At 39.2% G+C, this 11,328-nt stretch overlaps 2 annotated features.

The window, feature by feature from the left end:
* Positions 9,702-10,901: an enhancer, noted in NCBI's record as "CDK7 strongly-dependent group 2 enhancer chr8:87014581-87015780 (GRCh37/hg19 assembly coordinates)". NCBI's record gives its function as "activates an origin of replication core promoter dependent on BRD2, BRD4, P300/CBP, MED14 and CDK7 cofactors, with strong dependence on CDK7, by STARR-seq in HCT116 cells {active_cell/tissue: HCT116}" and the evidence as "EXISTENCE:reporter gene assay evidence [ECO:0000049][PMID:35650434]".
* Positions 10,207-10,407: a silencer, noted in NCBI's record as "peak7095 fragment used in MPRA reporter construct". NCBI's record gives its function as "represses an SCP1 promoter by STARR-seq MPRAs in K562 erythroleukemia cells {active_cell/tissue: K562}" and the evidence as "EXISTENCE:reporter gene assay evidence [ECO:0000049][PMID:32103011]".

The following is an 11,328-nucleotide window of genomic DNA, read 5'->3' as shown; positions in this document are numbered from 1 at the left end:
TATCTAAATTTTCTGTAGATTTTCCCACTCTTTAATTATGATAATTTATTGGCACAAGTTAATTAATTTGGAAGAAATTTTGCTTCCAGAAGTAAGAGTAGTCCTTAAATAAAATTTTGTAACGAGGCATCACTTCCTGATAATACTGTTAACATGATCAGTGGAAGCTTGACTTATGCATTTATACTTCTCATTGTTGTGCAGTAACTCAGGCAAAAAAAAAATCTTATGGATCTTATGCTAGGTGTGCTTGAAATCCCCACCCATCAACACTACTTTCTTGGAATAATAGAGAATAATGATTTAGTTTGGGCAAGTGGTAAAGAAACCATCACCATTAAGAGTGTAACCCAAACACAGACAAGAAATATGAGCATTCCTCTTACTTACATTTGAAAAAATGCAATCTGGAAAATCAAGTATGCGAGTTTAAAAGCATGTAGGTATGCATTTTGATTTGATAGTATGACTAATGAAAGAAAAACAAACATTACATGCACAAATTTAGAAATCATGTAGTTCTAAATACATTTCAATTAGTTTGGCATTTCCACTACTGATTGGATTAGAAAATTGGTGTGAAAAAAGTTGGCATTCTCATAGGATTACCAAAGTAACTCAGTGGCATGGTCTATGGTAGCTATGAGATTAAAATTAATACTTTACTCTCAATATTTATAAAGTGTCTCCTATCTTCAAAGCAATTCACTAAATTAATGCTCTCACTTGTTAGGAAGCAGCAACAAAAGTCATTTCAAGTAAAATGCAAAAAGAGCTTTTGTCTAGGCCTAGCTGAATTATAAGACTTGGAAACAGATTTTTAATCCTTTAGCTAAAACCTCCACACTTTGCCCAGGCCTGTCTTCTTGGTCTGATGCTTCTTTAAAAATGGCCTCCAACTATACATTTTAGGTTTTATCTCCTATTTTCTCATCATGCCCATCATACTATAGCCAAGCTGAAGTTTTTTTTTTTCCTCTTTGCTAGTAAATCCTCCTCTCTTGCTGAGAATTTCCATTTCTTCATCTCCATTTGTGAAATCCTTCACATACATAAGACCCACAGCCACCACTGCACCTTTTTTTATAGATCTCTTATGATTTCTCCTGCTGGGTGTGATTTCTTATTTTTTCTAAGAAGCAAAGCTGCTATTATTTCTCACACAATGCCTAGCCCAGAGTGCTGTACAAGGCATGAGCTCATTAAATATTGATTAGATGGATTGTGTGTGGAATGATTTTAGTAGGGGCCAGCAGAGATGTACTTTTCTTCCCACATCCACAGGGCATTATCCACACCCCATGGTATAATATGGGCAGAAAAGGAATAAATCTGTCCTGGTTCAGAGGAACAACAGGAGTACAGGCTAAGCTGCTGAATAAAAACATCCCAAATATACAATATATAGAGTGGCTTGCAGCAGACTGAAGCTTACTTCTCTCTCATGCAACAGTAGCTGATTGAGAGGCTATAGGGCAGCTCTGCTATATGTGGTCATATGTGGTCATTCAGGGACATAGGTTGCTTCCATCATCTTCCTTCTTTTTCCAGGGCACCAGCTTGTGTGGAAAGCAGAAGCTGCATTTCAGGCATGTCTGTGTCCAGTTAGCATGAGAAGTAACAGAGCAAGTCCAGGGAAAATCATTTCCTATTAACAAGTGAAGCAGAAGTTGCATCCATCGCTTCTGCTTACATTCCATCAGTAAGAAATTGAGTCACATGGCATGGCCACCATTAACTGCAAGGGTGGCTATAACATTTAGTTTCTAGATGATGCCCTGGAAGAAGAGGAGAATGCATTTGGTGAGGGGGAGTGGCGAGGAGAATGGATTTGGAGAGGAGGACACTACAAGTCTCCTTCCATCAGTAACAAGGCCTCTGGTCCAGGGAGGATCTGATTAAACTTTGACGAGTCCATACCACCCCTAGGAACTCAACTCCCTCAGCCCTCATCAGAACTCCTTAAGAGGAAAGAGCAAATGTCACAAGTAGTTGTTGGAATTCAGTTTCAAAAGAAGCAAAACATTAAAAAAAATCATCAAGAGCGGTAATAACACAAAGGCAAACTTGACATGATAGGACATTCTTCATTATTTGGAGGTGAGAATGGAGAAAGTCAGAGAAGAAAAAAGAGCAGTGAGGATCAACTGAATTTCTCCTACCCCCAAGTCCAATGTGAAGGCACTGGATGAGGATTGATTTAATTCTCTTTTATTAGCCATATTTGACAAACCCACAGCCACCATCATACTGAATGGGCAAAAGCCAGAAGCGTTCCCTTTGAAAACCAGCATAAGCCAAAGACGCCCTCTCTTACAACTCCTATTCAACATATTATTGGAAGTTCTGGCCAGGGCAATCAGGCAAGAGAAATAAATAAAGGCATTCAAATAGGAAGAGAGGAAGTCAAACTATCCCTATTTACAGTTGACATGATCCTATATCTAGAAAACCATACTATCTCAGCCCAAAAGCTTCTTAAACTGGTAAGCAACTTCAGCAAAGTCTCAGGATACAAAATCAATGTGGAAAAATCGCTAGCATTCCCATACACCAACAACAGTCAAGCTGAGAGCCAAATCATGAACCAACTCCCATTCACAATTGCCACAAAAAGAATAAAATACCTAAGAATACAGCTAACAAGGAAAGAGAAAGATCTCTACAAGGAGAACTACAAACCACTGCTCAAAGAAATCAGAGATGACACAAACAAATGGAAAAACATTTCATGCTCATGGATAGGAAGAATCGACATTGTGAAAATGGCCATACTGCCCAAAGCAATTTATAGGTACAATGGTATTCCCATTAAACTACCATTGACATTCTTCACAGAACTAAAAAAAACTATTAAAAAATTCATAGGGAACAAAGCCAGGTGTAGTGGCTCATGCCTGTAATGCCAGCACTTTGGGAGGCTGAGGTTGGCAGGTCACTTGAGGTAAGGAGTTTGAGATCAGCCTGGCCAAAATGGCAAAAACCCATCTCTACTAAAAATACAAAAATTAGCCAGGCGTGGTGGCATGCACCTGTAATCCCAGCTACTCGGGAGGTTGAGGCAGGAGAATCGCTTGAACCTAGGAGGCAGAGGTTGCAGTGAGCTGAGATCATGCCACTGCGCTCCAGCCTGGGCAACAGAGTGAGACTCTGTCTCAAAAAAATAAATAAATAAAAAATAAAATTTACATGGAACCAAAAAAGCCTGAATAGCCAAGGCAATCCTAACCAAAAAGAACAAAGCTGGAGGCATCACACTGTCTGACTTCAAACTATACTACAAGGCTACAGTAACCAAAACATCATGGTACTGGTACAAGGACACACAGACCAATGGAACAGAATAGAGAACCCAGAAATAAGACCACACACCTACCACTATCTGATCTTTGACAAATTTGATGAAAACAAGCAATGAGGAAAGGATTCAGTAAATTCAATAGATAGTGCTGGGATAGGCAGAAAATTGAAACTGGACCACTTCCTTATGCCATGTACAAAATATAACTCAAGATGGATTAAAGACTTAAATGTAAAACCCCAAACTGTGGGAGCTAAATGATGAGAACATATGGACACACAGAGGGGAACAGCACATACTGGGGCTTATCACAGGGTAGAGGGTAGGAGGAGGGAGAGAATCAGGAAAAATAACTGATGGATACTAGGTTTAATACCTGGGTAATGAAATAATCTGTACAACAACCCCTCATGACACATGTTTACCTATGTAACAAACCTGCACATCCTGCGCATGTACCCCTCAACTTAAAATAAAAGTTAAAAAAAATCCCTTTTATTGTATCCTAACCTGATTGAAGCCCAACACCAATCCGCAGAAACTGCTGGGATGGAGAAAGTGAATGACCAGTTCCTATTTTTCTGAAGATGTATACAAAAGACACATATTTTTTAAAAGGTTAAAATGCCAAAGGTTTAAACAGACAATTGCAGTAATAGAGAGAAAGGAGCCATTTAAAGCATTGTCAAGGAGCAAGAGAATCCAAATTAACCAGTGACAACCCATTTGGAAGTGGCATTTACACTGAGTGAGTCAGGATCTGCAATGAAGCCAACAGAAGTTTCCACCATGGAAGTTTCTTGCCTATGGCAGAAGGTGAGAGCATTTTTACAGTGCCATTTCACTGACCTTTTTATAAATTGTAACAACAATCGAGAGAATGTTAACAGCCTTATTTTTTTTCCTATGGAATATAATAAAATCTGTAATAGCTTTACTTAAATTGTGGCAGCTCAGAGAAATTGAAGTGCTTCTATTATTGTGTCGGCAGGAAACCAAGGTACCCAAGGATAAAATTTGGAAAAAGAAACCAGATTTTCAGAATAAAAAAATAAGAATTTGTTATTCTTCCTGAGAGAGAAACTACATAACATATAAATATCTTAAAATTATAAATAATTTCTTTATCCTAAAAATGACTACAATCATGAAACCAAAATTCTTTTTTTTTTTTTTTTTGACAGTCTCGCTCTGTCACCCAGGATGGAGTGCAGTGGTGCGATCTTGGCTCACTGCAACTTCCGCCTCCCAGGTTCAAGCGATTCTTGTGCCTCAGCCTCCTTAGTAGCTGAGATTACAGGCATGTGCCACCATACCCAGCTGAGTTTTTGTTGTTTTTACAGAGATAGTGTTTTACCATGTTAGCCAGGCTGGTCTGGAACTCCTGGCCTCGAGTGACCCACCTGCCTCAGCCTCCCCAAAATGCTGATATTACAGGCTTGAGCCACCGCACACGGCTGAAAACAAAATTCTGAGACACTAAAGGGATTAGAAATATGCATATTAAAATAAACAAAAATGAAGGCTAAGAAACAGATTTTGTTTTCGATATGAAAGATAAATTATTTTAAGGGGAGATTGGAGAGGCTGAATTTAAGTCCATGGAAAATGATTTTTAGAAATAAATGTACTTATGTCATTGACACATTAGTGCACATACTCTGACCTGAACTAACAATACAAGAGGCAGCAGTTTTATGAAGCAGAAACCTTGGGGACACAATGATTTCTGGACTCACTATGTGCTGTGTGTTTCCAGCTTCTGAATCCTCTCTGTCATTGTTTCTGTGCTCATATATATCAGTACATATAGATACATACCCATATATATGGTAAGCAGTCAATAAATAGCAGTTACCTTATGATAACATGAGGTTTGCACTTATTTTTCCACAGCCTGAGGTCAAGAGAAAGCAAATAAAATGAATACACAGCTCTATGAATATGGTTTTTAGCTGCAAAAAATGTCACATCGCTTAGTTCTGCTGGAAACCTCCCATAAGCAATTTGGACTATAGAATAGTTTTTAACTATTACATCACAGACGCAAACCTTCCTGTTTAAAGTGCCAAGTTGGCAGTACAAACAAGCACTCATGTCATTTATAGACACATTTTTAGATGACGAGCTCACAAAATAAGCTTTGTCTTACTACTGAAAGACCTATTTGGTGTAAATGATTTAATTTTCTGCTCTTTGAGCCTCATTAAATTATATTGTTTAGCAAAAAGTTTGCTGCTAACTAGATTTTATTGTCAAGACAAATCCTAGGAAGGGAAAACTCAGTAATTGTTAATCTTCCTAAAGAAGATGTTGTATTTTTCTTGTTATGTAAAGTTTGGCAATAATCACTTTTCTAAATTATTAGAAAAATGAACTTTTAATTAATTAAAGCATAATTGTATTCAGAGATAATACTATATTAGTCTGTAGTAATCTACCATTATATTGAACATTTGAAATTAAATTTCTGGTGACTCCCAAAAATAGTACACCCTGAAATAAAAATAGAAAAACGTACTTGTTTACTTTTTCAATTCTGCTCACAGCCAAGAGATCTTTTTTTTTTTTTTTTTTTTTTTTTTTGAGGCAGGGTCTTGCTGTGTTGCCCGGGTTGGAATGTAGTGGCACCATCACAGCTCACTGCAGCCTTGACTTCCCAGTTTTAAGTGATCCTCCCACCTCAGCCTCACAAGTAGCTGGGACCACATATGTGTGCCACCATGCCTGGCTAATTTCTTAAACATTTTGTAGAGACAGTGTCCCACTGTGTTGCTCAGTCTCAGACCGAGTCTTGAATTTCTAAACTCAAGGGATCCTCCCACCTTGGCCTCCCAAAGTTCTGAGATTACAGGGCGGCCAGAGAGATCTTGAGGTTACAGACAGTGATTGTTATATTTGGCAATGGGTTTGACCAACTAACAGAAGTTTAGATGCTATCATGTACCCACAGTTTTTTCTTTATTCTATCTTATTTTCTTCTTATTTTAATTATTTTATTTAATAGGAATAAATGGAATAAATTCAGGAGAGAGGACACATTTTTGGGCTATTAGTTTGTGGGGTTTTTTTGTTTGTTTGTTTGTTTGTTTGTTTTGGACAGCATCTCACTGTGTTGCCCAGGCTGCAGTGAAGTGGTGCAATCTCAGCTCACTGCAGCCTCAACCTCCCGGGCTCAAGTGATTGTCCCACCTCAGACTCCTGAGTAGCTGGGACCACAGGTGCACACCACCACAGCCAGCTAATTTTAAAAAATTTTTTTTGTAGAGATTGTGTTTTGCCATGTTTCCTAGGCTAGTCTCAAATTCCTGGGCTCAAGCTGTTCTCCTGTCTCAGCCTCCCAAAGTGCTGGGATTATAAGCATGAGCCACTGTGCCCAGCTCAGTTTGTGTTTTTTATGTCAAAAAAGAACTAATACCCTTGAGATGATTGCTATTTGCTAATGATAACAATTCCATATCCTAGTTTGTCACCACCCCCACCTCTCAACATTGAGATATTCAGTAAGCAGACTGCCAATGAAAAATTTAGCAAGAGTAATAAGAATCGGACAAAATTAGGACAGTGAAGACAGAAGGAAAGAAAAGGAGATAAGAGAAAGGATATAGTCTCATGTAGATTCATGTTTTAGGCAAGACAAGACAGGAAATTAAGCAAACTTAGTTTGACATATGCAGCAAATAAAAGGAGTTTTGAAATATCACACTTTACATTGGGATATTCAACAAGCAGAACTTTTTTTTTTTTGTGTGTGTGTCTTTTTAAACGTTGTTTTCCAAGAATGTTGCCAGGGACTGCTTGGCCTCGTGGAGGAGATGGCAAGGCATCTTGGAGCAGACAGACTTTGCTCTGGAAATATCGACTTGAGACGCTTCTCGTTATGGTTCTATTTTTTAAAAAACAACACACACAATATCCTAGGGGAAGTATATAACAAGGCAATATTTTCATTTGTCATGGAATCCTCAGTTATTCCTTGTTTTGTGAAAATGGTGTGTGGCTCCAGGAGAAGTGGAGATTTTAATAAGGAAATATTTAGTCTTCTAGGAGGAAAAAGATTGAGAACTCAATTCCTCCTCCTTTGGGAATCAGTGCTATTCAGTGCTCTCTGATAGGTTAAAAAGGCCCTGGCTGAGCTCATCTGACAGAAGACAATCCCAATTCTTACTGAGGGGTATTGGTCGCGAAGGAGAGGGAAGCCTGTGACAAAAGATCAATGTCAAGGTCAAGTGATCCAGGAACAGGCAATTCTGGACACAGCCTACAGTGGAGGCTGGAAACCAATCCTGACCTAGTCAACCTTGCTCAATGAGCCTATGGCTGGGCCTATGAAAGTTAAATAAAGCAGAATAGGGCTGCATTTCAGACCAGTGGTGGCATGCAGTGACCACAGCTAACCCTCAAAAATAAAAGCTCCTTATCCTTGATATATGTAATCCAAGAGACCAAGACTAAGTCAGCAGGGTTACAGCCTCCATCATCTCAAGAGTGACCAAGGAGCACGCAGGATTATTCTTTATGAGGCCACAAGAGCACTGACAGGTGATCTGGTCCTCCTGATCTGTAGGAAAGGACCACTGCAGGGAGGGATGCTGAAAGAAAAAGGAAGTTGTTATTTTTAGGATTAAACCTACATAGATGGAACCCTAGTAGACGGAAGAAGCAAACACTCACCCTCCTGAGAAGTCTCTTGCCAGCAATGAAAGCCTGGCCCACTGATCTAGCTCTTTCACCAAATAACATGGATTTCTACAGTTGTTCTTTAATCAGCAATGTTTCTTGTATGCCTGCTATGGTCCAGGAAATGCTGGGTTGCCCAGTTTCAAAGGCCTTAGTTCAATTTTTCTGAACTCAGTTTTCTGCTCTGGTAGGAGGATGGATGGGTTTTCAAATAATGTGTTACTTGCCTTTTTATTTACATGACTGTGATCCTGGAGTATGAAAAACCTCTTCTTATGTTCCAAATATTTTAAGAACGTTTTAATGTAAAAAAAAAAATCTGAAAAAGGTGGTAAAATCCCTACTTTAGATTTATGTTTACTAATTTTTTTCTTGTTCTCTTGATATTGAAGTGCCCTGAAGACCACAAGCTACCTTGGAGCTGCTCGCCTGTGTTCTGGGAAGACAGAGTTAAGTTATGAATCTATGCAGCAAGGCAGCACCCAATAACCTACAGAAAGGTTATAATAGGACATCTTTTTAAAAGTTGACCAACAAGCCTGTTTGCCTCTCAATTAACGTTCTTAAGGTTATAAAACTGGAATTCTGTTTTAGAAGGAGTGGATCATTGTTCATAATAAGACAAAAACTAGGCCCTCAGGAGAAAATTGATGGAAACCACAAACCCTTCCCTTTGGCAATCAAATTTTGTTAGATTATCAGCAATGCATTATGAAATCTGCACTTGTACTCAGCTGGCAGGGCAGAACACGCAGTCTTCTGGGCTTAATGTCCAGATCAAGTGGTCCTGGAAGACTTGAGGTGTAGGCACAGCCTGCAGCTGAGGCTGGGAATCTTTCCTGATTTAGCCAAAATTATACCATTGGGCAGCTTTGTGTGGCCTGTGAGTACGAACCAAGAAACTGAAAGACTGGATTGCAGACTTTTGGTGGCATGAAATGACCACTGGTGAATCCAAATCTGAGGAGCAAGAGAGACCCCTCATTCTTGCCACCTGTTATCTGAGAGACTCTAGGAACATGCACCCACAACCATGGCACATGGAATATTCTCCACATGGCAGTAGTGGTGGCACCACTCGACACCTCCTGTCCTGTTATATTATGGTTAAGAACTCCAAGGCATGTGCTACAGGAATTATGAGAATAAGTAGCAGCCTGGCTGTTAGTGAGGCTCCCCAGCCTTAAAGGGCTACACCTGAATTCCAGCCCAAACTGTTGGAAAGAGCCTCAAGAAATGATTGACAGGTGTCAAGGGCATGAGGCCTTGGAATTTTCAGGGAGGGTGACCCTGGGAAGAGGAGAAGGACTCTTATGATTAACTTAGACAACAGTTTGAAGCAATTTTAACTTCAGTAATAAAGAAAATCTGACCTTATTTTGTAGGTGATATCAGTTATGCTTCATAAGGAAAAGATTTGAATTTGTACCAAGTGTTTTAGAAACATAGTGTAAATTATTCAAATTGCAAAAAAGTAATCCTCAAATTTTGTCCTTTAAGATGTCATCTTAAGATGGACAAAATTCATTCAGTGGGATGGAAAATTACATTTGTCAAATCTTGTGCTAACCAACGTGCTTCTCCCACCCAAGAAACACAAACACATCTCTGAGATATCCAGAGAGAGTTGTAGTAAGTAGAACAGTGGTAAGACCTCTCCTTCTGTTTTTCTCAGTGATTTTTAACTGCTAAAACCTGGAATTTAGTGTAGTACATTGTTTCCATATATTGAAAGGGTCAAAAAGTGAGGCAGAATGGATATAGGTGCTAAGAGAATGAAGGTGGGTGAGGCATTTAAAATTTTTCAAAATGTTAACAATTGCACCTGATATTTTAATTTTTATCAAGAAAACCCTTGCTTAAAGCCATATGTTACTTTTTCTGTACCGAGACCAGGAGGTACCCTGCATAGTTACCCATTTGTTCTTGCAGTTCTTGTTTCATATGCACATTTTATCAAAAAGAATAAGTAGTCTCCCCTTATCCACGGGGAAAACATCCCAAGGCCCCTACAGGGTGCCTGAAACTGTGGATGGTATGGAACCCTGTATGTACTATGTTTTTTTTTCTATAGATATATACTTATGACAAGGTTTAATTTATCAGTTAGGCACAGTAAGAGATTAATAATAATAACTAAGGTTAAACTAGAACAATTATAATAATATGGCAGCATCACTAGTCTTGTGCTTTGGGGACATTATGTAGTAAATTAAGGGTTACTTGAACATAAGCTCTGCGATAACTCTACAGTGAATCTGATAAACAGCTACTGAGTGAGTAATGGGTGGGGACTGTATACAGCGTGGATATGCTAGACAAAAGGATGATTCACGTCCTCGGCAGGTAGGAGCAGGATGCCATGAGATTTCATCACACTTCTCAGAACACTGTGCAATTTTAAAGTTATGAATTGTTTCTGGGTAACTGAAACTGCACAACATGAAACCATGGATAAGGAGAGCCCTATCGTACTGGTATCATCTATGATTAATTCAAATGTGTTGACGCATCATTGAACTTACGTGATTTATGAAGGCCAATTTCTTTAGAATATAATAACATCATGATGTTTATTACTTGGCAGGCATTTGCAGGTGTTAATTCCCATTATGAGGCACGCACACTGATGGCTACACAGCAGGAAAAATCTCCTATTGGAGAATACAATTGAGATGTACAAGGCAGGGGGCATTTCGTGCTTGATTCTTTTCTCCATGGAGAATTTGGAAGATGATATTATTTCAGTCATTTAAATATTTGTAGAAATTACTCTCTTTAGGAGGAATAACATGATGCCAACATATTGTGGGCTCAAACAAGCATCAGAAAAACCATGTCGTCTGGTCAATGTCTACTTTTCCTTGTGACATTTCCCATCTCTGAATCCCATGGCAGTTCTGTCTTTGGAATCATCTGTGCAACTCTCTAAGGACATGTGGACACCTCTTCACTTCTAGGTAAAATCACATGTTAAAATTGTCTGTGGCCATCTGTCCAGATAGAAAGGAAGTGAACTATGTGCCTACTTGTCAAGATGCTTCAGTATTTATTTGGGAGTAAGAGGCAAGTCTTGGTGAGATGGCACTGTCTGGTCAACTTAACAGAACGTGCAACCCAGATGAATCCGAAGTGGGAATGAGGGTCCCAGCAGGAATAAGCAATGCTTTCCTCCCTTATTCCCTGCTTCTTCCTCCCCTCTCTTTGCAGTGTGCCTGCTGAGACCCAAGCTGTCCTGAGGAGAACAGCTGCTTTATGCTCAGGAGATCTGCAGTCAGGGCTGCTGTGTGCTCCTTTTCAAGGTGGTAATTTCACCAAAACTCATCGAGGAAGATGGTGGAAAGGCT

Source organism: Homo sapiens, chromosome 8 (genome assembly GCF_000001405.40).
Source record: "Homo sapiens chromosome 8, GRCh38.p14 Primary Assembly".
In the NCBI taxonomy this organism is placed as follows: Eukaryota; Metazoa; Chordata; class Mammalia; order Primates; family Hominidae; genus Homo; species Homo sapiens.
This window is presented reverse-complemented; position numbering and strand designations above follow the sequence as displayed.